Source organism: Homo sapiens, chromosome 10 (assembly GCF_000001405.40).
Source record: "Homo sapiens chromosome 10, GRCh38.p14 Primary Assembly".
Taxonomy (NCBI): domain Eukaryota; kingdom Metazoa; phylum Chordata; class Mammalia; order Primates; family Hominidae; genus Homo; species Homo sapiens.
In genome coordinates, this window is record NC_000010.11 from 73,785,606 (window position 1) to 73,812,454 (window position 26,849).

General features: G+C 54.0%; 2 protein-coding genes and 2 long non-coding RNA genes across 34 annotated transcripts, besides 4 other annotated features; 1 reads left to right on the forward strand and 3 right to left on the reverse strand.

Moving 5' to 3' along the window:
* ZSWIM8 (zinc finger SWIM-type containing 8) lies at positions 1-16,188 on the forward strand. Of its 25 annotated transcripts, none has more exons than NR_160292.1 (27): positions 1-481; positions 3,065-3,218; positions 3,491-3,585; positions 3,762-3,934; positions 4,112-4,219; positions 4,351-4,432; positions 4,567-4,687; positions 5,370-5,571; positions 5,719-5,894; positions 6,254-7,247; positions 7,983-8,114; positions 8,260-8,439; positions 8,542-8,725; positions 8,936-9,034; positions 9,934-10,058; positions 10,716-10,798; positions 11,169-11,409; positions 11,508-11,666; positions 11,772-12,000; positions 12,176-12,465; positions 12,625-12,848; positions 13,397-13,885; positions 14,406-14,565; positions 14,691-14,867; positions 15,035-15,154; positions 15,412-15,590; positions 15,711-16,188. NR_160292.1 is itself a non-coding variant. In XM_047424870.1 (27 exons), the coding sequence occupies exons 1-27, from the start codon at positions 274-276 to the stop codon at positions 15,912-15,914; spliced, it is 5,427 nt and encodes a 1,808-aa protein (XP_047280826.1). In that variant the 5' UTR covers positions 1-273; the 3' UTR covers positions 15,915-16,188. The 25 variants fall into 25 exon arrangements, 24 of the variants coding, with proteins under 24 accessions (XP_047280826.1, XP_047280818.1, XP_005269712.1 ...); XM_047424870.1 differs by lacking the exon at positions 10,716-10,798 and having other exon boundaries at positions 6,254-6,948; positions 7,051-7,247; positions 14,406-14,589; XM_047424862.1 differs by lacking the exon at positions 10,716-10,798 and having other exon boundaries at positions 6,254-6,948; positions 7,051-7,247; positions 14,406-14,589; positions 15,480-15,590.
* Positions 101-320: a silencer, noted in NCBI's record as "silent region_2488". NCBI's record gives its function as "represses an Ori minimal core promoter by ATAC-STARR-seq in GM12878 lymphoblastoid cells {active_cell/tissue: GM12878}" and the evidence as "EXISTENCE:reporter gene assay evidence [ECO:0000049][PMID:35858748]".
* Positions 2,953-4,152: an enhancer, noted in NCBI's record as "CDK7 strongly-dependent group 2 enhancer chr10:75548316-75549515 (GRCh37/hg19 assembly coordinates)". NCBI's record gives its function as "activates an origin of replication core promoter dependent on BRD2, BRD4, P300/CBP, MED14 and CDK7 cofactors, with strong dependence on CDK7, by STARR-seq in HCT116 cells {active_cell/tissue: HCT116}" and the evidence as "EXISTENCE:reporter gene assay evidence [ECO:0000049][PMID:35650434]".
* Positions 10,909-15,794, reverse strand: ZSWIM8-AS1 (ZSWIM8 antisense RNA 1). Its single transcript, NR_038357.1, has 4 exons — positions 15,735-15,794; positions 14,898-14,954; positions 12,217-12,483; positions 10,909-11,984 (listed from the first exon to the last, which is right to left on the reverse strand). It is a non-coding gene; the product is annotated as a ZSWIM8 antisense RNA 1 (long non-coding RNA).
* Positions 10,909-26,215, reverse strand: NDST2-ZSWIM8-AS1 (NDST2-ZSWIM8-AS1 readthrough). 3 transcript variants are annotated; one of them, NR_182658.1, is made up of 18 exons: positions 25,869-26,215; positions 25,194-25,298; positions 21,779-23,124; positions 21,503-21,590; positions 21,052-21,206; positions 20,684-20,869; positions 20,295-20,423; positions 19,982-20,164; positions 19,168-19,264; positions 18,288-18,411; positions 17,969-18,143; positions 17,584-17,754; positions 17,367-17,476; positions 17,069-17,171; positions 15,735-16,971; positions 14,898-14,954; positions 12,217-12,454; positions 10,909-11,984 (listed from the first exon to the last, which is right to left on the reverse strand). It is a non-coding gene; the product is annotated as an NDST2-ZSWIM8-AS1 readthrough (long non-coding RNA). The 3 variants fall into 3 exon arrangements; NR_182656.1 differs by lacking the exons at positions 14,898-14,954; positions 15,735-16,971; NR_182657.1 differs by having other exon boundaries at positions 12,217-17,171.
* NDST2 (N-deacetylase and N-sulfotransferase 2) lies at positions 16,311-26,215 on the reverse strand. 5 transcript variants are annotated; one of them, NR_160744.1, is made up of 15 exons: positions 25,869-26,215; positions 25,194-25,298; positions 21,779-23,124; positions 21,503-21,590; positions 21,052-21,206; positions 20,684-20,898; positions 20,295-20,423; positions 19,982-20,164; positions 19,168-19,264; positions 18,288-18,411; positions 17,969-18,143; positions 17,584-17,754; positions 17,404-17,476; positions 17,069-17,171; positions 16,311-16,971 (listed from the first exon to the last, which is right to left on the reverse strand). NR_160744.1 is itself a non-coding variant. In NM_001330107.2 (15 exons), exons 3-14 carry the CDS (start codon positions 22,781-22,783, stop codon positions 17,110-17,112), a joined length of 2,448 nt encoding a protein of 815 aa, NP_001317036.1. In that variant the 5' UTR covers positions 22,784-23,124; positions 25,194-25,298; positions 25,869-25,993; the 3' UTR covers positions 16,311-16,971; positions 17,069-17,109. The 5 variants fall into 5 exon arrangements, 2 of the variants coding, with proteins under 2 accessions (NP_001317036.1, NP_003626.1); NR_160743.1 differs by having other exon boundaries at positions 17,367-17,476; NM_001330107.2 differs by having other exon boundaries at positions 20,684-20,869; positions 25,869-25,993.
* Positions 25,428-25,497: a silencer, noted in NCBI's record as "silent region_2489". NCBI's record gives its function as "represses an Ori minimal core promoter by ATAC-STARR-seq in GM12878 lymphoblastoid cells {active_cell/tissue: GM12878}" and the evidence as "EXISTENCE:reporter gene assay evidence [ECO:0000049][PMID:35858748]".
* Positions 25,798-26,507: a silencer, noted in NCBI's record as "silent region_2490". NCBI's record gives its function as "represses an Ori minimal core promoter by ATAC-STARR-seq in GM12878 lymphoblastoid cells {active_cell/tissue: GM12878}" and the evidence as "EXISTENCE:reporter gene assay evidence [ECO:0000049][PMID:35858748]".

Here is a 26,849-nt window from a genome sequence, read left to right on the forward strand (position 1 = left end):
AGCCGCCTAGAGGCCCCAGCCGCCGAGCGCTTCGTCCCGGCCCTAAGTCTCGGAGACTGGCCAAGATCACCGCTTGCACCGCGCTGTTGGGCGAGGCCCGGTCCCGTCTCTTTCCCAGGCCTGAGATTCTCGCCCGGCACGGCCGCCCTGAGCGCCCCGGCCACCCCCAGCCCCGGCTCGCCCCTCAGGCCCCGGGCCTCCCCTCAACCCCCGGCCGGCGGCCCAGGCCCCGGATCCGCGGGGGGGGACCCGGCCCCGGGGGGTGCGGGCCCCATGGAGCTGATGTTTGCAGAGTGGGAGGACGGAGAGCGCTTCTCATTCGAGGATTCGGACCGTTTTGAGGAGGATTCACTCTGTTCCTTCATCTCCGAGGCCGAGAGCCTCTGCCAGAACTGGCGGGGATGGCGCAAACAGTCAGCGGGGCCCAATTCCCCCACTGGCGGCGGTGGCGGAGGTGGCAGTGGCGGTACCAGAATGCGAGGTGAGAGTGAGCTGGGGGGAAGAGGAGCGGCAGGCCCTGCTTGGGCCTCGCTCGGGAGCTGTCCGGGACCAGGAGCTGTCCCCGACCAAGAGCTCTCTTCAACCAGGGGAAGAAAGGGGAGCTGTCCCCGGCCGGGAGCTGTCCCCGACTGGGAGCTGTCCCAAGCTTAGAACAGACTTCAGAACTCGCTTTTCCGGCCTTCCTGGGGTGGGCTGGCTTCTCCACACCTGTGTGTGTGTGGGTGTGTGTGTGTGTGTGTGCGCGCGCGCGCGTGCGCGCGCTGTGACAGGGAGATCCTGTGGACAGAAAGTAAATCTTTCGTCACTCCTTTGCCTTAGAGAGGGGATAAGGGAGAAGAATCTTGTCTTTGACTTGGGAATACTTAAGTGAGTTCAGTCTGAGGCATACCGGAAAGTAGAGGAAGAGAATGTGGGTAGGGGGCTGATTGTGAAGAAGTGACCACTTGTGGCTTGTCACCGCATTGCAAAGTGCATTGGGAGCTTCTTGCTTCGGGGTGATGATCTCTGATCCCAGAAGCACCAAGAAGGGATCCTACCCAGAGGAAAATAGAGGTGAACTGGCCTGCCAGAGAGTCCATAGTTCATAGGTTTAGATCATAGACTTTGCTTCTGGCCATGTCAAATATCTGTCAGAAGCCAAGGCTGGGACTTGCCTGCTGTGCCTTCCTCATGGCACAGTTTTTGTCCTGGTCCTCAGTGGAAGCTGGCTTTTTTCAGCAGTTGAGATGTTTAATTTGTGTGATTCTACTCAGGCCTTTCCAAGAGTCCTGTTTTCCAAACTGGCTTGTGGAGATTTCTGGTGCTCCTTTGGGACAGAGAGAAATTTACATATATCACTTTTTTTTTTTTTTTTTGAGACGGAGTTTTGCTCTTGTTGCCCAGGCTGGAGTGCAATGGCACGATCTCGGCTCACCGCAACCTCCGCCTCCCCAGTTCAAGCGATTCTCCTGCCTCAGCCTCCTGAGTAGCTGGGATTACAGGCATGTGTCACCATGCCCGGCTAATTTTTGTATTTTTAGTGGAGACCGGGTTTCTCCATGTTGGTCAGGCTGGTCTTGAACTCCCGACCTTAGGTGATCTGCGCGCCTCGGCCTCCCGAAGTGCTGGGATTACAGGCGTGAGCCACCGCTCCCGGCATATATATCACTTTTTAGGAGTGGCGGACTGGTGGCATTCAGCTTCAGTTGGAGAGAGGATATGGCCTGTGTACACACACACAAACACACACAGATCATAGGCAGTTTTACCGTGGGTCTTCTGTGGCCTTCTGGCTTCTTTCATATTTGAGTATGTGGGTGGTCTTGGGGCTTAGTGCTCCCTCACTTTGAGGGAAGTAACTGAAGTCATAGCGATGAAGATTGTTAACATATTGGTATCTTCCTGGTCAGGTTAAAATCTGGGAAAACATGCCATATTACCCCAGTCCCCCGACTTCAGTCACTGACTTGTAAAATAAAGGGGTTGGCCAGGTGCGGTGGCTCGTGCCTGTAATCCCAGTACTTTGGGAGGCCGAGTCGGGTGGATCACTTGTGGTCAGGAGTTTGAGACCAGCTTGGCCAACATGGTGAAACCCCATCTCTACTAAAAATACAAAAGATTCGCTGGGTGTGTTGGCACCCGCTTGTAATCTCAGCTACTTGGGAGGCTGAGGTGGGAGGTAAGTTTGAACCCAGGAGGGAGAGGTTGTGGTGAGCCAAGATGGCACCATTGCACTCCAGCCTGGGTGACAGAGTGAGACTTCATCTCAAAATAAATAAATAAAAATCAAAAAAATAAAATAAAGGGGTTAACTCTTCTAAAAAGGTTCTTTTTAATTCTATGATTTTCTGATCTATTAATGTGACTAGCAATTTTGTGAGATGTAGTTTGTCATGTTATCACTACTTTTTGGTTAAAACACTGTGGAAAACCTTGAGTGGTAACTTTATCTTAGTCCAGGTGATTCCAGTTGCAGCAGTAGCTAGGTGCCCTGCGATAACTCTCTCCCCTTGAGGGTTTCCAGTGTGGGAAGTTGTCATTTAGGCGCGCCAAAAGTGGTCTGGCCTCTCGTGCTTCTTGAGATCCCTTCCGGGCTCTGGTCTATCTTGTCTCCTTAGCTGGGGGCCTACAGTCATCTAGAGTAAAAGGGATGGTTAAAAAAAAAAAAAAAAGGCAATCGGAGACAAGAATGCCAGAGGAGAGACATTAACCATGTAATTTGAATTTAAAATGCTCATGGAATATGGGAAATTCAGTGCTGAGCCATGTGAGCAGGGTTACTTGCTAGGGTCCTGGAACGCACCTGTCTGGCCAGGAGTTTCTTAAGATATCTCTGGTATCTTCTGTTCTAGACCTTAGGTGTAGCCGGCTGTGGGCTGGGGATTATCCAGCTCCCCTTTCCCATATGGAGCCTTAAGGGTTAGTGTATCCTGATAGGGGGATCCCTAGGACTTTCATCCAGGTCTCTTCTTTCTTTCATAGTGAAGATGAGGCCCAGGATGTTGTACTGGCATGAGTGCCAAGAGACCATGGCCCTTTTCATTTCCTATTCTCTTTCCCCTGATCCCAACCATTGTTTGCAAAGATGGACTGGTGATCCCATTGGTGGAGCTGTCAGCAAAGCAGGTGGCATTTCATATCCCATTTGAAGTGGTGGAGAAAGTTTACCCACCAGTGCCTGAGCAGCTACAGCTCCGAATTGCTTTTTGGAGCTTCCCTGAGAATGAAGAGGACATTCGGTGAGGCCAAAGGACTGATGGTGGGGAGCGGGGTCCTGATACTCCACACTGTCTGCTGGGTTTCCCATAGAACAAAGGAGACATTGTATTTGGGGCAGTGGTAAGAGGAAGACAAGGGAGGGATTGCCTGGGATTCCACTCCCTCCCCCCCACCCCCCGCCCTGGGGAAGGAATGAGGCTAGGGAGAGAGTGCCTAGGGCATTGTGGTCTCTGACAGGGTCTGCCAAAGGTTATTTGCTGAGTTGTGGCTGTGTCCTCTTCTTCACCCCCAGGCTGTATTCGTGCCTGGCCAATGGCAGTGCGGATGAGTTTCAGCGAGGGGATCAGCTCTTCCGCATGCGGGCTGTGAAGGACCCATTGCAGATAGGTGAGTGGGCCATCATGCCATGTGGCACATCCTGCTCCTCCCATCCCCTGGCTTATGAAGTAAGAACACACCGCAAGAAGCTGGAGCATGTTGTCTGAATAACTGCAGGGCCAGGGTCAAGGGCAGAGACCCAGGTCCTGACAGCACTCCCTGACCATGCCCCCATTTCTCCCCAGGGTTCCACCTGAGTGCTACAGTGGTGCCACCTCAGATGGTCCCTCCTAAAGGGGCCTACAACGTGGCTGTGATGTTTGACCGCTGCCGGGTCACTTCCTGCAGCTGTACCTGTGGGGCTGGGGCCAAATGGTGCACCCACGTCGTGGCACTCTGTCTCTTCCGCATCCACAACGTGAGGCCCTCCCAATTTATCCCGGCCCTATCCTACACTCCATCCCCCCCTTCTCTGCTGCATGCCTGGCTACAATGTGAGCCCCCTCGCCTCGCCTACTCTGCCTCTCTGTCCCCCAGCTCCAGCTCCAGCAAACCTGTTCTCAGATTGTTCCATTTTTCTCTGTGTCCCCTTCAGGCTTCTGCAGTCTGCCTGCGAGCCCCAGTCTCAGAGTCCCTGTCCCGGCTACAGAGGGACCAGCTGCAAAAGTTTGCTCAGTACCTCATCAGTGAGCTCCCTCAGCAGGTGGGTGAGGTCGGCACCCCCTCCTGCAATTAGCTCCGGGCCAGGCCGCATAACAGCCTTCCTGTTAGGCCCAGGCCTCCATGGGTTCACCTAGGCCGTGTTCTGCCTGCCTCCGTCTCTTTCTCCCTCAGATCCTCCCCACAGCTCAGCGTCTCCTGGACGAACTCCTGTCTTCCCAGTCAACAGCCATCAATACAGTGTGTGGAGCTCCGGGTGAGTGTGGTGAGAAAGATTGGCAGTAGGAAGAAAGCCAGCTTGTAGTACAGAGCGCCATTTACTCAAGGCTTGCTGTTGTCAGGCAAATCCAGGCCCCTATCTCTAGATGACTGACTGCCTGTCATCCTCAGACCCCACAGCAGGGCCCTCAGCATCGGACCAGAGTACTTGGTATCTGGATGAATCGACACTCACTGACAACATCAAAAAGACACTGCACAAGTTCTGTGGCCCCTCCCCTGTGGTCTTCAGGTAAATCGGATCTCTGCATACCTGTGTCTGTGGTGGAGGGGGAGCGTCCCTCAGGCTGATGACAGATCCTTTCTTCTATTCATGCCTGTGACCCCTACCTTTTATTCCCTGAACTGGCACAGTGCCTGGCACACAGTTGTCACTAACGAATTGATGGAAGATGATGACCTTGTACAGTCACAGAGTGGTCTGCTCTTACCTAGCAAGAGTTCCTTTTCTTCTTTTGATAGATCAGGAAATGGAAACAGAGAAAGATTTTTTAAAGAGTTTTTGTGGCTGGGGGCGGTGGCTCATACCTATAATCCCAGCATTTTGGGAGGCTGACGTGGGCAGATCACCTGAGATCAGGAGTTCGAGACCAGCCTGGCCAACATGGCGAATCTCCATCTCTACTAAAAAAACAAAAATTAGCCAGGCGTGGTGGCGGGCGCCTGTAATCTCAGCTACTTGGGAGGCTGAGGCAGGAGAATTGCTTGAACCCGGGAGGTGGAGGTTGCAGTGAGGTGAGATCGCGCCATTGCACTCAAGCCTGGGCGACAGAGCAAGACTTGGTCTCAAAAAAAAAAATTTTGTTACAGATGTCTTTTTCCCTCTATCTTCTGTATTTTGGGGCCGGAAGCCCTTTTAGGTTTCATTCAGCCCCGTCTTACTGTCATGGTTTTCTGTTCCTCTGCTTTTACAGTGATGTGAACTCCATGTATCTGTCTTCCACGGAGCCGCCAGCCGCTGCTGAATGGGCATGTCTGCTGCGCCCTCTGAGGGGCCGTGAGCCAGAGGGCGTCTGGAACCTGCTAAGCATTGTGCGGGAGATGTTCAAGCGGAGGGACAGCAATGCTGCCCCCTTGTTGGAAATCCTCACTGACCAGTGCCTCACCTATGAACAGGTAATCACTCAGCGTTGGGGAGCCCCGTGGTAGCTCATTCTTTCCCTCCCCCTGCCTCATCCTCCTCTTGCTGAAATGGACTCTGGGAGGGCTACTCTGCCTTTCTCTGAGCTCTCAGGTGCAGCTCACAGCCTTCTTTGTCTCCAGATAACAGGTTGGTGGTATAGCGTACGTACCTCAGCCTCACACAGCAGTGCCAGTGGGCACACGGGCCGTAGCAACGGGCAGTCAGAGGTGGCAGCCCATGCCTGTGCCAGCATGTGTGACGAGATGGTCACACTGTGGAGGCTGGCCGTGCTGGACCCTGCACTCAGCCCCCAGCGGTGAGTCTCCCCTGAGGCTCACCACAGAACTGAGCCTGGGCCAGCTCAGGACAGACTGAGCCTTCATCTCCTTGTTTGCAGAGACATACCATGATTTTAGTCCTCGGGAAACGGGAGGTGCTGAGCACTGGTGTTAGCAGTGATTTACGAGTCCTTTTTCTGAGAGGCTTTCATCCTTCCTTCCCCTAAATAACACCCACTTTTCAAAATTCTCCAGTGTTTCAGTGATGCTTATGGGGCTGGGTCAAGAAGTACTTTCCTGTATCCTTTCCCCATGCCTCTCTTTGGGGTGTACACCTACTCCATGCCCATCCTTTCCCAGTAGCCCCTCAGCAGCCTCCTGCCCCTTGTTCCCACAGGCGCCGGGAACTGTGTACGCAGCTGCGGCAGTGGCAACTGAAGGTGATTGAGAACGTCAAGCGGGGCCAACACAAGAAGACGCTGGAGCGGCTCTTCCCCGGCTTCCGGCCAGCGGTGGAGGCCTGCTACTTCAACTGGGAAGAGGCCTACCCACTTCCTGGTGTCACCTACAGCGGCACTGACAGGAAGCTGGCACTGTGCTGGGCCCGGGCCCTGCCCTCTCGGCCAGGTGCCTCCCGCTCTGGGGGCCTGGAGGAATCCCGGGACCGGCCCCGACCCCTTCCTACTGAGCCAGCTGTGCGGCCCAAGGAGCCTGGGACCAAGCGAAAGGGCTTGGGTGAGGGGGTCCCCTCATCACAGCGGGGTCCCCGCCGCCTCTCAGCTGAAGGGGGAGATAAAGCTCTACATAAGATGGGTCCAGGTGGGGGCAAAGCCAAGGCACTGGGTGGGGCTGGCAGTGGGAGCAAGGGCTCAGCAGGTGGCGGAAGCAAGCGACGGCTGAGCAGCGAAGACAGCTCCCTGGAGCCAGACCTGGCCGAGATGAGCCTGGATGACAGCAGCCTGGCCCTGGGCGCAGAGGCCAGCACCTTCGGGGGATTCCCTGAGAGCCCTCCACCCTGTCCTCTCCACGGTGGCTCCCGAGGCCCTTCCACTTTCCTTCCTGAGCCCCCAGATACTTATGAAGAAGATGGTGGTGTGTACTTCTCGGAAGGGCCTGAGCCTCCCACAGCCTCTGTTGGCCCCCCTGGCCTACTGCCTGGGGATGTCTGTACCCAGGACGACCTCCCTTCTACAGATGAGAGTGGCAATGGGCTTCCCAAAACCAAAGAGGCAGCCCCTGCAGTTGGAGAGGAGGATGATGACTACCAGGCGTACTATCTGAATGCCCAGGATGGGGCTGGGGGCGAGGAAGAGAAGGCCGAGGGCGGGGCTGGGGAGGAGCACGACCTGTTTGCTGGGCTGAAGCCACTGGAACAGGAGAGTCGCATGGAGGTGAGGGGATGGAAGGAGGGAGGGCTGGGTGCTCCTTAGCCACAACTGGGAGGGGCTATCTAGCTCTAGTTGGGAGTGTCAGGACCATCAGCAGGATTGTGAGAACCCTGTTGCAGGCGCCGAACTGGTCTCCCTGCTTTCAGTCTACTCACTTTTCTGCTTCCACGAGATTTTCCTGAAATGTGATGGTGTCACTCTGCTGCTTAAAACCCTTCAATGGGTTCCTGTTGCCCTTATGATAAAATGAAAGTGGTTGGCATGACCTGTGAGGGTCCACTTGATCTGGTCTTTGCCTGCTTTGCCAGCCTCACTTGGCTGCTCTGTCCTTTGCACTCCAGTCAGCTGAATCACTCATGTATCTGCCATGCTCTCTCTCTTGCCTCCAGGATTTTGGACAGATTGACCTTTCTGCCTGGAATGCTCTTCCCCATTAGCCCGTGTTTCTCCTTCAGGTCTCAGGGATCTTAAAGATCACTTCCTCTAGGGAGTCTCTCTGATACTGTCCCTGTGCCCCAAGATATCCCACCTGCTTCCCCTTGACCTTTCCCTGTAATAGCTGGCATCACGGTGGCATGTGTGTTTATGTGTCTGTCTTTCTAACCAGAGCTCCTATGGAGCGGCACAGGGCCTGGCATGTAGCAAGTGTTCAAGGAATGTTGGCTGCATGAGTGAGCATGATGTCCTGCTCCTGGAAGTTGGGACTTTAACCTGTCTGGTCCCATGTCCTCCTTCCAGGTACTGTTTGCCTGTGCTGAGGCCCTGCATGCGCATGGCTATAGCAGTGAGGCCTCCCGTCTCACTGTGGAGCTTGCCCAGGATCTGCTAGCCAACCCACCCGACCTCAAGGTAGAGCCGCCCCCTGCCAAGGTGAGAGACCCCCTTCCTCTACCTTCCCCTCCCCCACTTACCCCCAACCTGCTCCCATGCCCCACCCCAAGTGAGAGCATCCTTCTACCTCCACCAAGGTAAGTCAGAATCATCTGCCTGTCTCCTGTGTTTCTTCCCTTTCTAGGGCAAGAAGAACAAGGTATCCACGAGCCGTCAGACCTGGGTGGCTACCAACACCCTGAGCAAGGCGGCCTTCCTGTTGACAGTGCTAAGTGAGCGTCCAGAGCACCACAACCTGGCCTTCCGAGTTGGCATGTTTGCCTTGGAGCTACAGAGGCCTCCAGCTTCTACCAAGGCCTTGGAGGTCAGAGGCTCCATCTCAGCCTTGTATTTCAGTCTCTTTAGAGCCTTGCACCTTGATCTCTATTGACACACCAGAGGTCTGAGCTCCTTCCTGTGCCCTCAGGTGAAGCTGGCATACCAGGAGTCTGAGGTGGCTGCCCTGCTCAAGAAGATCCCTCTGGGTCCAAGTGAGATGAGTACCATGCGGTGCCGGGCAGAGGAACTTCGGGAGGGGACACTCTGTGACTATCGGCCTGTGTTGCCTCTCATGCTGGCCAGTTTCATCTTTGACGTTCTCTGTGCTCCAGGTATGATGCCTGACCCTACAGTAAGTGGGGAACTGGGGTAGGGGTAGCTTTCTCTAAGAAAGACCAAGAGCCCCAAGTTTCTGAATCACCTTTAGGACCCATCAGGCAGCTTCATGGGTAGGTCTGTGATGATGAGGATTTTGGGTTCCCCTGTATTTTTTCCCATGCATGATACTTCTGTCTGCCTGACTTACCCCAACTTTTATACAGTGGTTTCTCCCACAGGTTCCCGGCCCCCAAGTCGCAACTGGAACAGCGAGACACCTGGGGATGAGGAGCTTGGATTTGAAGCAGCAGTTGCTGCCTTGGGTGAGTCTTGAGCATATCAACGAGCTAAGCCTGGTTCAGGTCTTGAAGGACATGAGACCTGTGCCTTGTTGTGAAGGGCTGTATGGTAATGGGAAGGTCAGGATGACATGTGTGAGCCAACTAGTGCCTGTAAGACAGGAATTCAGGGCAAAAATGTGTGCTATATGGCTGGGCGTGGTGGCCCATGCTTGTAATCGCAGCGCTTTGGGAGGCTGAAGCAGGAGGATTGTTTGAGCTCAGGAGTTCATGACCAGCCTGGGCAACCTAGCAAGACCTCATCTCTACTTAAAAAAAAAAAAAAAAAAAAAAAAAAAATTAGCCAGGTGTGGTGGCACATGCCTTGTGCTGCCAGCTACTCCAGAGGCTGAAGTGGGAGAATTGCTTTAGCCTGGAGATTGAGGCTGCAGTGAACTGTGATTGCACCACTGCCCTCTAGCCTGGGCAACAGAGTGAAACCTTGTCTCAAACAAAGAAAAAAAAAATTGTGTGCTATGGGTATTGGGTATTGTAAGGGCAGCAAAACAAAAATCTAGAGAAAGGCCTAAGGGAAGTGGTAGAATATGGAATGTGGGTTAAAAGATCAGTAGGTCCTAAACCAGCGAACACCATGAGTAAATACACAACGCAATCAAGTTTTCATGAGAATGAGGAGGCCAGCTTCCCTAAAATGATAAGTACATGCTGGGTAAGCAGATTGGACCTGGTTATGAAGGTTTTGAAAAGCACACCAGAGCTTAGGCTGGATATAATAGTCAACGAAGACTTCTATAGGTGATGTGGGTTGGACCAAGGGAACCCCTTACTTCATATGCTGATGGCTTGGGAACCCTGGCCTCTTACCTTTGCTGTCTTGGGAATTATGACTACTCTCAATCCCCATAAGGTCCTCTTTCTCGCAGGCATGAAGACAACAGTGAGCGAGGCAGAACATCCCCTCTTATGTGAAGGCACACGTCGGGAGAAGGGTGACCTGGCATTAGCACTAATGATCACTTACAAGGACGACCAGGCCAAGCTTAAGAAGGTAAGAGACTGGGGCTGGGTGCGGTGGCTCATGCCTGTAATCCCAGCAGTTTGGGAGGCAGAGGCGGGCAGATGGCTTGAGCCCAGGAGTTTGAGACAAGCCTGGGCAACATGGCGAAACCCCGTCTCTACCAAAAAATACAAAAAATTAGCAGCTGGGTGTGGTGGCACATGCCTGTAGTCCCAGCTACTCGGGAGGCTGAGGTGGGAGGATTGCTTGAACCCAGTAGGCAGAGGTTGCAATGAGCTGGGTTCACGCCACTGCACTCCAGCCTGGGTGACAGAGCAAGACCCTGTTTCAAAAAAAAAAAAAAAAAAAAAAGGCAAGGTACTGGGGCCTTTGACAGGCAGAGAAAGAGAGCACATTTTACTACCTTTCTCAGGGAGTTTCCAGTACAATGAGAAAAGTGCTATTTTAGGCTGGGTGCAGTGGCTCATGCCTGTAATCTCAGCACTTTGGGAAGCAGAGGCGGGAGGATCGTTTGAGACCAACCTGGCCAACATAGTGAGACCCTGTCTCTACAAAAAATTAGAAAATTAGCCGGGCATGGTGGCGCGCGCCTGTAGTCCCAGCTACTCGGGAGGCTGAGGTGGGAGAATTGCTTGAGCCCAGGAGTTTGAGGCTACAGTGAGCTATAATCATACCACTGCACTCCAGCCTGGGCAACAGAGCGAGACCCTGTCTCTTAAAAAAAAAAGAAGAAGAAGAAAAAAAGAAAAGTGCTCTTCTGCCCATAGGAGGTAAGTAGGGAATCTTGGGGACATCTCATAAAGAATAAGAGAAGACCAATGGTTCTTATAGGAGTGCTTGGGCATGGGGTGGAAGAAGAGAAGCAGAGGGCATAAAGTCATTCATTCACTTATTTCAGTATTTATTGACTATCAGTATATTCTGCCCTGTGGTGTTAATGGAGGATACCAAGATATGTTGGGGTTAAATAAGTTACAAAAAGACATGTAAACCAGGAGGTCATCCTGTGGTTGTAAGTGGGGAAGGCTCCCTGAGGATGTAGCAATTGGCTGTTTCAAGGAGAAAGGAAGGTAATAGAAGTCAGGAGCTAAAGGGCATCCTGTCACTGCTTCTCTGGAGGTCACTGCTTCTGTCTTCCAGATCTTAGACAAACTCTTGGACCGAGAGAGCCAGACACATAAGCCACAGACGCTGAGTTCTTTCTACTCATCTAGCCGCCCAACCACAGCCAGCCAGAGGTCTCCTTCAAAGCACGGGGGCCCATCTGCCCCAGGGGCCCTGCAACCACTGACCTCAGGCTCTGCAGGGCCTGCTCAACCAGGGAGTGTGGCAGGGGCTGGGCCAGGCCCCACTGAGGGCTTCACAGAGAAGAATGTGCCTGGTGAGGTGGGGGCACTGGGCAGGGGGGATGAATGGTGTGGACCTATGTTGAGGTCCCCTTTCCTGGGCTCATCCCAGCGTCCTGTTTTCCTCACCTAGAGAGTTCCCCACATTCCCCCTGTGAGGGTCTTCCATCTGAGGCAGCTTTGACCCCAAGGCCAGAAGGGAAGGTTCCTAGCCGCTTGGCACTTGGCAGTCGTGGAGGCTATAATGGACGGGGATGGGGGTCCCCAGGACGGCCTAAGAAGAAGCACACAGGTAGGATAGCCTGTGGGCTAGCATAGAGGGAAGGATAATCCTGAAGGTTGGAGTCTTAACATCTGGGACTCCTGACTTCTGAGACTGACTTCTCTTGGGGGTTAGGCATGGCCAGCATTGACAGCAGTGCCCCTGAAACAACATCGGATAGTTCCCCCACCTTAAGCCGGAGACCACTTCGAGGGGGCTGGGCCCCCACCTCCTGGGGTCGAGGTCAGGACAGTGACAGCATTAGCAGCTCTTCTTCGGACTCCCTGGGCTCCTCATCCTCCAGTGGAAGTCGCCGGGCCAGTGCCAGTGGAGGAGCCCGGGCGAAGACTGTTGAAGTTGGCAGGTCAGTGGGAAGAACTCCCCATCTTCCCTGATCTGGCCCACCCTCAGAGCCACACCCCTAGTGCAATCCAACCATTGTCTCCCAGCATCCTCACTTTCCCTGGTCCTTCCCAACCTACCCGGATGCCCATTTCAAAGAAACCCCAACCCCCGTCCCTACCCCATTGCCCCTTCAGGTACAAGGGCCGCCGCCCCGAGAGTCATGCCCCTCATGTACCCAATCAGCCATCAGAGGCAGCTGCACACTTCTACTTCGAGCTGGCGAAGACAGTGCTGATCAAGGCAGGGGGCAACAGCAGCACTTCCATTTTCACACATCCATCTTCCTCAGGGGGCCACCAGGGTCCTCACCGCAACCTGCACCTTTGCGCCTTCGAGATTGGGCTTTATGCCCTTGGCCTGCACAACTTTGTTTCTCCCAACTGGCTCTCACGTACTTATTCTTCCCACGTTTCCTGGATTACAGGTAAATCATTTGACCTGACTTGGGTATGGGAGGGGGATTAATTGGTGGGGATAAGACCCTTATCTTTGTGGGGTTACTGATCTGATAAAAAGACATTATTCTCACACCCCAGTGGTGCCCACACTAACCCAACTCTGCCCTTCTCTCCTTTCCCCTAAGGCCAGGCCATGGAGATAGGCAGCGCAGCCCTGACTATACTGGTAGAATGCTGGGATGGGCACCTGACACCCCCTGAGGTTGCATCCCTGGCTGACAGGGCATCACGGGCAAGAGACTCCAATATGGTGAGGGCGGCAGCAGAGCTGGCCCTGAGCTGCCTGCCTCACGCCCATGCATTGAACCCTAATGAGATCCAGCGGGCCCTGGTGCAGTGCAAGGAACAGGTATTTCTACGGGCAATCTGGGAACCTCTTCTGGGGCATCTGGGCAGGGAGGTTGGGCATGGGAAAGCTAAGGGCCCAGCTCTTGATTCCCGTATCCTGGAGTTTACAGATGATTGTTGGTCCTCTCATGGCAACATTTTACCCATTAATGTGCTTTCACACCCATCTTTCCTTTACCTTACAACTCAAAGGTTAGGTTTATTTCTATTTTACAGATAAGGAAATGGAGGCCTACGGTTTAGGGACCAAGATGATCACTCAGGATAGAAAACTTAGGGAAGGCCTCATACATCTAAGACTTGAATGGGAGGGGGCTGTTAAATTAGTTTGGAACTGGGACTATAACCTGGGTCTTGACTCATTTTGGTCAGTATTTACTCAGTGTGTGAAGCACTCACTGCTCTGATAATGGACTCTAAGCATTGACACTGACCTCTGATGATTCCCTGGGAATGAGACAGCTCTGAGGGAGACATTGGAATCTCATCTAACACCTTCCATGTGGTAAAGGCCTTTCCCCCTTAACACTCTGTGCCCCTCTCTTCCAGGACAACCTGATGTTGGAGAAGGCCTGCATGGCAGTGGAAGAGGCAGCTAAGGGTGGGGGCGTGTACCCTGAAGTGTTGTTTGAGGTTGCTCACCAGTGGTTCTGGCTGTATGAGCAAACTGCAGGTGGCTCATCCACAGCCCGTGAAGGGGCTACAAGCTGTAGTGCCAGTGGGATCAGGGCAGGTGGGGAAGCTGGGCGGGGTATGCCTGAGGGTAGAGGGGGCCCAGGGACTGAGCCGGTTACAGTGGCAGCGGCAGCAGTGACAGCAGCAGCCACAGTGGTGCCCGTCATATCGGTGGGGTCTAGTTTATACCCGGGTCCAGGACTGGGGCATGGCCACTCCCCTGGCCTGCACCCCTACACTGCTCTACAGCCCCACCTGCCCTGTAGCCCTCAGTATCTCACTCACCCAGCTCACCCTGCCCACCCCATGCCTCACATGCCCCGGCCTGCCGTCTTCCCTGTGCCCAGCTCTGCATACCCACAGGTGAGACCAGTGTTCTGCTGGGGGGTAAGGCATGGGAAAATACTGGGAATTCATAGGGGGTTGGAGTGGGTACTCTGGGAGTATAATTGGTCAGTCGGAGAGTCCTGGTGAGGTGGTGGGAGTCTGGGGGACCCAGCCCAACTAAAATAAGAAATGACGGCCGGGCATGGTGGCTCATGCCTGTAATCCCAGCACTTTGAGAGGCCGATGTGGGTGGATCACTTGAGGTCAGGAGTTCGAGACCAGCCTGGCCAACATGGGGAAACCCCGTCTCTACTAAAAATTAGCTGAGTGCACGCCTGTAATCCCAGCTTCTTGGGAGGCTGAGATGGGAATCACTTGAACCTGGGAGGCAGAGGTTGCAGTGAGCCGATATCGTGCCACTGCACTCCAGCCTGGAGGACAGAGCGAGACTCTATCTCAAAAAAAACATGTCAGGATAGCAGCTTGTGGGGGTGAAGCACGACAGCAACATCCTAATCAAGTTTGGCATCTTCCCCTTTCTTCTCCCTGCCCCTAGGGTGTGCATCCTGCATTCCTAGGGGCTCAGTACCCTTATTCAGTGACTCCTCCCTCACTTGCTGCCACTGCTGTGTCTTTCCCCGTTCCTTCCATGGCACCCATCACAGTACATCCCTACCACACAGAGCCAGGGCTTCCACTGCCCACCAGTGTGGCCTGTGAGTTGTGGGGCCAGGGAACAGGTGAATGGAGGGGAGGCACACTGGGCAGGGGAGGTGGGGAGGGAATGTTCTTTGTCTCTCTTTGGGCTCTGAGTTCCTCACATGGCTCTCACCCCACTTAGTGAGCAGTGTCCATCCAGCATCCACGTTTCCAGCCATCCAAGGTGCCTCACTGCCTGCCCTGACCACACAGCCCAGCCCTCTGGTGAGCGGAGGTTTTCCACCGCCCGAGGAGGAGACACACAGTCAGCCAGTCAATCCCCACAGCCTGCACCACCTGCATGCTGCCTACCGTGTCGGTGAGAGGACATCCCTTTCTGTGCTCCTACCTGCAGTTGTGCCAGTGGCTCTTCAGAGGACCCTTCCTCTAGCTCTTCATTTGTTTACTGTGGGGTCAGGTGACAGGTTGGGGTAAAGGGTGAAGAGGATACACCGTACCATGTGCCCACCCTTATCTATCTCCCAGGAATGCTGGCACTGGAGATGCTGGGTCGCCGGGCACACAACGATCACCCCAACAACTTCTCCCGCTCCCCCCCCTACACTGATGATGTCAAATGGTTGCTGGGGCTGGCAGCAAAGCTGGGTAACACCTCCCCTCCCTAGGACCATTGCCCCCCCCCCACCTGCTCTCCCCACCTTCCTTATCCCAGACCTCCTTCCTAGCTCTTGCTCAGAGTTGAGGCCTTGGTCGGGTATGTGTGCGTGCGCGGGGGGCGGAGGGTTACCTCAGCTCCTGGGGTGGAGGGAGGCTCTCTGCCAGGCCAGAGCTGAGATCTGTAAGTTGGGTCCCTAGGGCAGAGGTGGCCACCCCCGTCTCATGCCCCTCCCCCTGCCCCCCAGGAGTGAACTACGTGCACCAGTTCTGTGTGGGGGCAGCCAAGGGGGTGCTGAGCCCGTTTGTGCTGCAGGAGATCGTCATGGAGACGCTGCAGCGGCTGAGTCCCGCTCATGCCCACAACCACCTGCGTGCCCCGGCCTTCCACCAACTGGTGCAGCGCTGCCAGCAGGCATACATGCAGGTGACAACCTAGAATTATGGAGCAGGGTGGAGCACTTCCTGGGTGGTCTTGGACCAGAGGGAGGCAGGGCCTGTTTCTGTGCTTTGTACTAAGGCTCATCCTGCACACATCCTCCTCCAGTACATCCACCACCGCTTGATTCACCTGACTCCTGCGGACTACGACGACTTTGTGAATGCGATCCGGAGTGCCCGCAGCGCCTTCTGCCTGACGCCCATGGGCATGATGCAGTTCAACGACATCCTACAGAACCTCAAGCGCAGCAAACAGACCAAGGAGCTGTGGCAGCGGGTCTCACTCGAGATGGCCACCTTCTCCCCCTGAGTCTTTCACCCTTAGGGTCCTATACAGGGACCCAGGCCTGTGGCTATGGGGGCCCCTCACACAGGGGGAGTGAAACTTGGCTGGACAGATCATCCTCACTCAGTTCCCTGGTAGCACAGACTGACAGCTGCTCTTGGGCTATAGCTTGGGGCCAAGATGTCTCACACCCTAGAAGCCTAGGGCTGGGGGAGACAGCCCTGTCTGGGAGGGGGCGTTGGGTGGCCTCTGGTATTTATTTGGCATTTATAAATATATAAACTCCTTTTTTACTCTAGTCGACCTGGGCCTTTCCCTTCTTTCCAAATTCCATGTGCAGATGAACCTTCAACTGGGGAGGAAACTTCTGACACTTGCTTTAGTCTAGGTTTTTCCCACTCCAGGGAGGCAGACAAAACAGAAAAATAAGGATGTTTATTAAGGACATTTCTAGCCCACAGCTAGGGCTCATACTCGGCTCTATGAGCCACTGTCCGACCTCATCCCCATTCAATGTGAATGACATTAGGGAGGCCGGGCCACAGGTAGATCCCACTGCCTGGCTAAAGGGGCCATAGCAAGGGGTCCCTCCCATGCAAGGGGTCTCTCCCATAGCCAGGTATAGAATAGATACACTGCTGCGGATGAAGAGGGAAATCTCATTGGACTAATACATTCCCCTACACCCTGCCTGGACCCTCTCATTCCTCCCCACCTCCCAAGATGATGGGTCAAAGGTACCTAGCACTATTATGTGGGGTACCAAAGGAAGCCCCTTTATTTGTCCCAGAACTGTGGGAAAAGGATACCCTTCCCTTCTCAGCCATCTCAGGCCTGGGGGCTACTGAGGTAGAGGGGGAGGGGCCAGGCCACTCTAATCCCCCTTGTGGGCCCTGCTCTGGACCTGCCCCTTAGGGAAGCAGGGGGCATTTTGCTGGTATGGGAGGCTGGGACATCAGCCCAGACTGGAATGCTGCAGTTCTTCCCGAAGCCACGAGGGCACTGGCTGTCCAAGCCGGCTCAGCAGCTTCGACAACTCCAAATTATGGTTCCGGAAAAAATCCGTAAGGAAAAGACGGGACTGACAGGAGAAAATGAAGGCAGAAATGGTAAGAAGTGGGACACAGAATCAGATCCTGGAAGTGGAGAGGGATTCCCCTGCCCCTGGCTTTACTTACCTCAGTGTCCATATCTGGATACCTCCGGCCTTTGCTCCGGCCTAGACAGCGAGTCTTACCACCTTCAAGTCCCTGGCACCAAAATCCCTTATCATCATCAAACCTGCTCAACAGGAAGAGGCCATGAGGTGGCAGGGAAAAGAGAAACTCAAGTTCCATAAATGCACAATGCCCTTCCCTGCCCACAGGGACATGTCTCTCCTTGTGAGACAGAGTAAATCTATGTCTCTAACAGACATGGTCAACCTGCTTCCCCATTTCCCATACAGTACTCCTCCCCTGGGTCATGCTCTCCCACCTGAGGGTCCGTGTGTAGTTCAGAAAGGGTGTGATACCCAGGAACTTCTGGATGCTCTCCATTGAGGCTGCTGGGTTGGTACGCAGCTCTTGCCCATCCACAATCAGCAACTAAAAGGACAGGGATGTGGTTCCCTCTATATTCCTAAGAAGCCTCTGGGCTGAAGGGAAGAAGAGGGGAAGGGGAACCCCACTGAGGGCTCTTGTGGGGATTATACCTGTCCAGAGGGGTAGTAAGTCAGCCAGCGTTGTAGATGGGTAGAATAGTAGCCAGGGACAAGACAGCGGTTCTGCAGGGAGCGTAGTGCCAGAGGGGTCTGGGAGGAGGCTGAAATCACCTGATAGAAGGTATAGTTCAGAGCAACTGGGTCTCCATGGGCTCGCTGATGCTGAAGGACAAAGAGAAGGAAGGTGAAGGACTGGTGATTTGACAGTATTCTGCCCTTACGCTTGGTCTGGAGACAGACAGCACAGCACGGGTACCCGTCCCCAAGGCACTAGTTAAGTTTCTCAAACCTCACTCCTTTCTCCCTCTCTAGCAGTCACTGTCCCCTCCCCCCTCCCCCCAACCTTTAGCCTGTGTGTCCCTAGCTTCAGGCAGACCTGGTACCAGGAGTAGGCCCTGTCAGCAGGGTTGGTGAGCACTGTGATGATCTTGGCTCGTGGCAGGAGGGCAGCCCCCCGCCGTGGTACAACTTCAGAGTCAAAGTAGGTGGCACTTTTTTCAAATAGGAAATCAGTGCTGGCATTGGAAGGAACAGGGAAGAAATCCATGTACCTAGGAAGTAGCACAGAAGAGAGAGAAGCAGAAAAATATGCAGAGTGAAGTGGCCAGAAGTCTGTGCTGAGGGAAGCTGGAATGGGGTATTTTGGGGGAAGGGAGTGTTCCTCTGAGAAACATTCAAATGGGGCCCAGTCTCACCAGTCAATACCCTTGTGGTAATTAGGGCTGTTGAAGAACTGAATCTCCTCAAATGTGCTGGGGCTAGGGAAGCTGCTAGTTACAGCTGGGTGCAGGCTCAGGAAGAAGTGAATAGCTGTAGTCCCTAAATGGGAGAGAAAGACCAGCTTCAGGCAGCCATTGTGGGAGGGAAGCCAGCTCAACAGCATAAGCTTGAAGGAAGTGAAAAAATAACCACTCTGGGTAGGAAAATCCCCTATGGCCAAACTACAATGATAGGAGGCAAGTCTGAGAGAGGCCCAGGGAAGGGCTAAAACAGTGGTTCTCTGCTTTAACTGTGCACCAGAATGACTTGTGATCTTGTAAAAACACCACAGATGATTCTGATATACAACCAGGGTTAGGAATCACTGCCTCAAGAGACTGGATCAATGAGGGGTGGGTATAAAAGGAGTTCCTTTTTTTCTCTCTTAAAAATTCAAATTAAGGCCGGGTGCGGTGGCTCATGCCTGTAATCCCAGCACTTTGGGAGGCCAAGGCAGGCGGATCACTTGAGGTCAAGAGTTCGAGACCAGCCTGGCCAACATGGTGAAACCCCGTCTCTACTAAAAATACAAAAATTAGCCAGGTGTGGTGGCACCTGCCTGTAATCCCAGCTACTAGGGAAGCTGAGCAGAATTGCCTGAACCTGGGAGGTGGAGGTTGTAGTGAGCTGAGATCGTGCCACTGCGCTCCAGCCTGGGCAAAGAAGTGAGACTCTTATCTCAAAAAAAAAAAAATTATTAAAATTAAAAATACTTTTTTCACTCCTGTGATTACCTGGAGAGAGAAGAGAGTTCCTTGACAAAAGGATCCTTTGGGTTTAAGGCAGGGCAAGAGAAGTTAGCTAAGGATACTTCACCTGTTTTCTGGGGTCCCACAATGAGGAACTTCGGGAGACGATCACAGGTTTTCTCCTTGGACCAGATATCTTTGTGCCTCTTGTCATCACAGGGATTCTGAAGCCAGGGCCAATAATCAGATAAGGCCTATTTTTTTTTTTTTTTTGAGACGGAGTTTCGTTCTTGTTGCCCAGGCTGGAGTGCAATGCATGATCTCGGCTCACTGCAACCTCCGCCTCCTGGGTTCAAGCAATTCTCTTGCCTCAGCCTTCTGAGTAGCTGGGATTATAGGCAATGTGCCACCATGTCCGGCTAATTTTGTGTTTTTAGTAGAGACAGGGTTTCTCCAAGTTGGTCAGGTTAGTCTCAGACTCCTGACCTCAGGTGATCTGCCTGCCTCGGCCTCCCAAAGTGCTGGGATTACAGGCATGAGCCACCGTGCCCGGCCTGGCCTAGTCTTCTCTTAAACCCCCACCCCGGCTGGGCGCAGTGGCTTACATATGTAATCCCAGCACTTTGGGAGGCTGAGGCGGGCGGATCACCTGCAGTCAGGAGTTCGAGACCAGCCTGACCAACATGGTGAAACCCCGTCTCTACTAAAAATACAAAAAATTAGCCGGGCGTGGTGGCGGGTGCGTGTAATCCCAGCTACTAGGGAGGCTGAGGCAGGAGAATCGCTTGAACCTGGGAGGTGGAGGTTGCAATGAGCAGAGATTGTGCCATTGTACTCTAGCCTGGGTGACAGAGCGAGATTCTGTCTCAAAACAACAACAACAACAACAAAAAACACCCCACCCCTATCATGTCTCTCATCAGACTGAGCTCCACCTTTACCTGCCAAAGGGGGCTTCGCTCCTGAGGGAAAAGTTCAAAGTACTTCTGTGCAAGTGGGACAGGAGGAAGGGTCTGTAGGCGCAGCCGTGTCCAACACTGGAGGAAGCGCACCAAGCTCTCAAAGGTGTATAGGCCCAGCCGGTCATTTCCATAATTGGACAGATGGGTCATAAAGATGCTGATCTGTAAGGGGTACCTGCATGTCAGATTTGGAGAGCCTACCCCACCTCTGAATTAGCCTTGGTGAATAAAGGTCCCAGCCTGCAAACACCTTGGCTCTCCAATCTTCTAGCCGTTCCTCTCAGCACCTTACCGGATTAAGCAGCACTGTCAGAAAGAGCTCTCCACCTCGGATGCTCCGGTCTAGTTCACGAGAGCCTCCAGGATACTCATTATAGAAGATTGTGTGAGTGAAGAGGCCACATGTCTGCCGGGGCAGCACCTGGAGGGAAAAGAAAAAACAGATGAGATTTGAAAGATAGAATGAGAAGTAGATGGAGGACACTGGGATTTATAGAGGACTGAGTCTGAAGTTATAGCAATAAAGCTCTTACTGAGGGTGTTAAAATTTTTTCACCTTTCTACCCCCAATTATGTACCCCCATACTTGGACTGGCAGTTGATAGAGAACATAGGTCAATGCATGTTGAAAGCTGTCTAAATGTTAGAGTTTGATTCAAGCCTGTATTGGGAGTCCCTCACCATAATGCCATTGTGAATGAAGCCACGGCGGTAGCGGGCAGGGCGGAGATGGGGATACTCCTCAGTGCTGGTCACCTGGATGCCCCACACGGATTTCCAGGCCTCATAGAGCTGCGTGTGGATGGGGTACACACCCGAGTGGTGGGGGGCCACAGCATACCCCAGGTCCGTGGGAATCCCATGCTCCTGGGAATGGCATAGACTCTCACCAGGACCTGGTGAGGTTTGGGGAGTAGAGGGTAAAGAGGGTGGGGAAGCCTCCAAATAAAGAAAAACGCAAAGGATAGGAAAAGGGTAGCCCATTAGGGGAAGGTAGAAAAGGAAGCATGGCTGGGAGAAATTATGGGGAAGAGATCCAAGGGTCTCACCAGAGCAAACTGTTTGTTGAGCCTCATCTGGTCAGCCAGCACGGAGCGATTGTGGAACAGGTGTGGCTGCATGTGGCTCCACATGTGGGGGAACCACCAGAACTCTTTGCGGTGCTTCAGCAGCATGTCGTCCCCTGCATCCTCCTCCTCTGTCCCTATGACCACACGCTGACCACTGACCACAGCCAGTCAGCCCCTGTTCCCTCCTTTATTTTGTAACAACACTGACCACCTTCCATCCCTGATCCTTGCCTAAGACTTTCTATTTGCCCCACTGCCAACTTGCCATCCAGCCACCCATGCGAACCTAAATTCATGCCCACCACTAGCTCCTCACAGCAGTCTGACCCCAAACCTTGACCCTTTTCTTCAACTTGTCTGCCCAGGGAGGTGGACAGTGAAGGGACAGGTCAAACTATGATATGCCAAAGGAGTAGGGGTATAAGCTCACCAGTATGATAGAACTTGCCCGAGAAGCCCAAGTTGAAGGTGAAGTTGGGAACTAAGGTCCTGAGTTTGTTCTGGGTGGTCAACAGAGCCTGGGAAGAGTAGCAGGGACAAGAGAAATCAGGAGAGCAGACTGAACAGGAAATACATGAGAAGTAGCATTCTTCCTGCCTGGAAAGGCAGGGAGTGTACCTATGACAAGCTCAGAATCAAGGAAGGGAGTCTGACAGGCCAGAGTGTGAATAGCTTCTAAGAAAAAAATTTAAGTAACAAGACTGACCTCAACATCAGCCACCTTCATGCGGGTCCCTTCCTTGCCCACAAAGATGTCATCGATGTCTACCAAGATGTAGCGGTCAAGGTCCAGGCAGAGGCGCTTGCCAGTGAGGTATGCAACAGCATCAACGAAGATAAGTTTGTGGAGCCAGAAGGAAAGGCCATGTCCAAAGAGCACCCGCTGGATGCCATCATGAAGCCCCAGGTCCTGTACCACAGTGGGAAGCCGGGCCCGACGAAGAACTGGTCCTGGCACTGCGGGCTCAGCTGGCCGAAGGCTGGCAAGAAGCACTGGTTCATATGTACTATGATTGGATTGGAAGATGGTCCAGTCATCACCAGGCAGTGGCCCTGGTTCTAGGCGGCTGGGGCGTGTGAGATGCAGTAGCGGGGCAGAAGGATTCACTTGGTAGTCCCGGAGCCCCAAGTTTGAGTGTAAAAAAAGGGGAAAGCCCTTGAGCTGGGCGCTCAGTAGGCTGTGCTCGTGGGCTCGGAAAAAGCCAATGATGCCCACACCATACTCCACGCAGTACCGGTCTAGCAGTTCCCGACTCCAGGCATCCAGGTTGACATACTTGAGCAGGTTCTCATAAATGACCAAGACATAGCGGCCATGGGTATTATCAGTCAATGTGGGCATGTCCCCTCGGCCAGGTGCCAACTCAGTGCTATAACGAAAACGACTAGACTCCAGGATGGCCACAATTTCCTGCCCCAGCTGTGAGTATGCACTCTCCACAAACACAAGGACCACGGGTTCAGTTCGAGCTGTCTCTGGAGGCCTGGGGGGCCGAGGTGGAACTGGAGGCCGTGCAGGGCCAGGACCAGCTGCCCCACCGCTGCTGCAGTCTCCCAAGGGCAGGGGCAAGGGTTCCTTGGCCTTAGGGCTGGTGGACACATAATAAGCCAGGAAGCCCATGGAGCCCAGGCTGAAAGCGATCAGCAGCAGTATGAGGCGGTGCAGTTCCAGCTGCCGAGCTGGGCGTACCACCTTCCACAACTGGAGCATGGCGGGGGGAGGAAGGGAGGGAGGAATGGGGACCACCTCAGGGGATGGGAGGTAGGAGTTCTATAGGCTAGGACTGTCTTGGAAGGGTAGAAGGATAGGAAAATAGGGGACAGGGATTCCCTTGGGGAGTTTCCTTTACGAGGTGGAGACGAGTCCCCTTAGCATAGGGTAGGGGAGGTAGAAGGGGAAGCAGGGGGCAACTATACAGAGTCCACTTGTCTCAGGTCACCATGGCCCCCTGGCCCATGGCTTCAGGCTGCAAATCTTGCCAGGCTCTCCCCTTGGCCCTGGCTGAGCGCCTCACATCAAAGGTCAGCAAAGTTCAATCTCTTCCCCTCTACCTGTAAGACAGAGAAATCAGTGGGTTACTCCTCCCTCTGAAATTGTCATTAATCCATTCTCCTCCCCATCCCATCTCTCTTACCTCCTGCTTACTGGATAATCTGTTCTCAAAAAAAAAAAAAAAAAAGTTTCCTCTAGGAGAATCTACAAGCTGAGTCCTATACCTTAGCTTCACAGCTTGTTCCCTTTCCCTTTCTTAGAATACCCAAATGAATGTCCAAATTCTCCTCTCTAAGCAAAGCTCAGAGATGGAGCAGTATATGCAAATGATAGGAACAAATCTCCCATCAACAAGAGGCTAAATATCCTAGAAGGCTAAAAACAGGCCTGCTCTGAAAGGAGTTCCTAGCCCATGACCGAGCAGCTGGCAGCCAGCAACAGCTCTGATCTTTCTGTGAGGAAGGGACGGAAAGCCCCGGAAGTCTTCAGAAGTCCCATGCTCCAACAAAATATCAGATAAGGAACTCATGAGTCTGTTAATCTTCTCATCAATCAAACCCAATATCACAGCCAACAGCTTTAACGAACTTGCAGTCAGGTGGACACTATGGTGGGGGAGTTCAAAAGGAAAGAGCAATCCTCATGATAGGTAATCATTCTACCAGTTTCCAAACCCAGAAATTAGGGACTCCCTTACCCGTTGCTTGTGAAACATTACCTGCCCCTGACCTTCACCTCAACTTTGCCAGTCAGGAGATAAAAATGTAACCCCTGAGCAGGCCACACACTGGGTGCTGAGAAAAGCCATACAGCTGAGTCCACTCTACTTCTCCTTCCTAACTTAGCCTAAGTAGTTCTACAACCCTATTCCTAAACAGCTCAGAAGAGTCCCTGAGCTAGTCTGGAGAGACATGAGGTATTGAGTCCAGTTACACAAACAGAACAACTTGAGTAAGGACTGGATGACAGAGAGCAACAGGAGCTTAAGTCACATCCAACCAATGACAGAAGGAAAAAGGACAGTGTGATCAGAAAACAGTTTTAAGGAGGTCTAATTTTGGGGATCTCTTTTATTATTTTTAGATGGAGTCTTGCTCTGTCACCCAGGATACAGTGTGCTAGTGTGATCATAGCCTACTGCAGCTTCAAACTCCTGGGCTCAAGTGATCCTCCCACCTCAGCCTCCCATGTAGCTGGGACTACAGCTTTGCACCACCACACCCTACTAATTTTTAATTTTTTTTAGAGATGGGGGTCTTGTTACGTTGCCCAGGCTGGTCTTGAACTCCTGGGGTCAGACAGACAATCCTCCGGCCTCAGCCTCCTGAGTCTGTTCTTTTTCTTAAATCGACTGCTTCTGTAAGCTTTATTGTCACTATCCCCACTCAGCCTCCTTGTAAGGCTGGCAATCCCTCTCTACCACCCACCCCCAAACACACATCTCAGGGGTGATAAGGCAGAGCTGAGGTCCTTCAGAATTGACAGAGATGATTTAAAAACAGTTCAGGACAGGCGTGGTGCCTCACGCCTGTAATTCCAGCACTGTGAAAGGCCGAAGCGGGTGATCACTTGAGGTCAGGAGTTCGAGACCAGCCTGGCCAACATGGTGAAGCCCCGTCTCTACTAAAAATACAAAAATTAGATGGGCATGGTGGTGGGCGCCTGTAGTCCCAGCTACTCAGGAGGCTGAGGCAGGAGAATCACTTGAACGTGGGAGGCGGAAATTGCAGTGAGCTGAGATTGTGCCACTGTACTCCAGCCTGGGTGACAGAGCTAGACTCCAGCTCAAAAAAAAATAAAAATAAAAATAAAAATAAAACAGTTCAGCTTTGGCCTAGGTAAAACGACACGAGAAGACAGCTGGGGGAGAGGATCAAAATGGTGACGGGAAGGGGTGAATGCTAAGAATGTGATGCAACTTTAGAGAAAACATTGTAGTGAGGAGGTCACTGACGGGAAGTTGATACTCAGGGTGTATCATCCCGTATTTGAGAAATTACAACTTGCCAGCCATTCTTCTAAGAGCTTCACATATATTTAATCTTCACACCAGCCCTAAGAGGTAGGGAAAAGGTACATGCTCCATTATCCCCATTTCACATATGAGTAACTCAGAGAAGCTTAGAACCTTGCCCAGGATCACACAGCTCAGTTGGTGGGAGGGCTGGGATTCGACGTCAGGCCTGTCAAGCTCCAGAGCCGCGTTCTTAGCCGCTGCATTTTAGCTTCATACCTGGAAGAAGCAGCAAGGTTTAGGGAAGGGGCGCCGGGAGCGCCGCAGGCCGGGCCAGTGAACACTGAGGGCCAGCAGGGCTGGGCGGGGTGGGTGTGTGCGGGAGATCTCTGAGGACGGCGAAGCCAGACGGGGGCCGGGGCCGGGCCCGGGCTTGGGGAGGCCGGGACGGCCGGAGCAGCGGCGCGGAGGCTGCGGGCGCCGAGGGGGCCCGGGGCTGGCGGGTGGAGGGGCCCCGCCGAGAGGAGACGGGGGCACAGGTGGATGCGAAGAGCGCACCGGATGTGGGACACCAAAGGGGAAGGGGCCACAGGCGCGCGGCGGCGACTCCGGGGTGACATCGAGACAGCCTCTGGGCTGGGAGAGCCCTGCGGGAAGAAGGGAGCCCGCCCGGTCCGGAGGGGAGCGAGGCGGTTCTGAGGGAGGCCGGCGGAAAGGACCCGGGGCGCGGCGCACGCTGGGCCGCCCGGGACGACCCTGCGGGTGGTGATGGTGGCAACATCCAAGGGAGTCTGTTGGGGGGGCCTGAGCGCGACCGTGGGCGGGGGGGTCTCCTCAGGGGCGGCTCACCCGGAGGACTGGGCGGCGTCCCCGCTGTCCCCGGGCTCCGCCGCGTCCCGGGGCTGCCCGGCTTCCCTGCTTTCGGGGCCACGGGCCGCGTCGCGGCTGCTCCGCCATCTCCGAGCGAACGCTCTGCCGCAGCCTGGCCCAACCACCGCTCCCACCGGGGGAGGCGGCGCGCCGCCGCTGGTGGCACCCGCTCGGATCCACCGGCTCCGGCCCTAGCAGCCGCGCGACCTGGGTTCCGGGAAATCAAGCGGCCCTCCGCAGTGCCGGGCCGAGCCGCGGCCTCCGAGACGGCGGGCTCCGCGCCCCGCCCGCGGAAGCGCACCCCCTCCTCTCCGCGCGATGGCACTGCCGGCCGAGCGTCGGGGACCACGACTTCGGAGCAGGGGCGGGCTCAGGCCTGGGCTCATCCACTCAGCCCCGCGGAGGGGGAGCCGGGCCGGCCCACTCGGGGGAGGGGAGGAGTAAGAGGCGGAGCGGCCTAACCGGAGGCGGGACCAGGGGCGGGGCGAGGCCCTCAGCCGGCTCCCAGGGCACTCACCCTCCCTCCCCGCCCCGCGTCGCCTGCGCAGCACCGAGCGCTGTTTGGAGGCTGTTTATGAGAAGTTTTTTTTTTTTTTTTTTTTTTTTTTTTTTTTTTTTGAGACGGAGTCTCACTCTGTCGCCTGGGCTGGAGTGCAGTGGCGCGACCTCGGCTCACTGCAACCTCCCCCTCCCAGGTTCAAGCGATTCTCCTGCCTCAGCCTTCCGAGCAGCTGGGATTACAGGCGCCCGCCACTATGCCCAGCTAAATTTTTTGTATTTTTTAGTAGAGACGGGGTTTCACCATATTAGCCAGGCTGGTCTCGAACTCCTGACCTCGTGATTCGCCCGCGTCGGCCTCCCAAAGTACTGGGATTACAGGCATGAGGAAGTTTTATTCTCAAAAGTACCCAAAGGGAGTAGGAGGAGGTACTCTCTCCAACCTGGTAAGCCAGGCTGCTA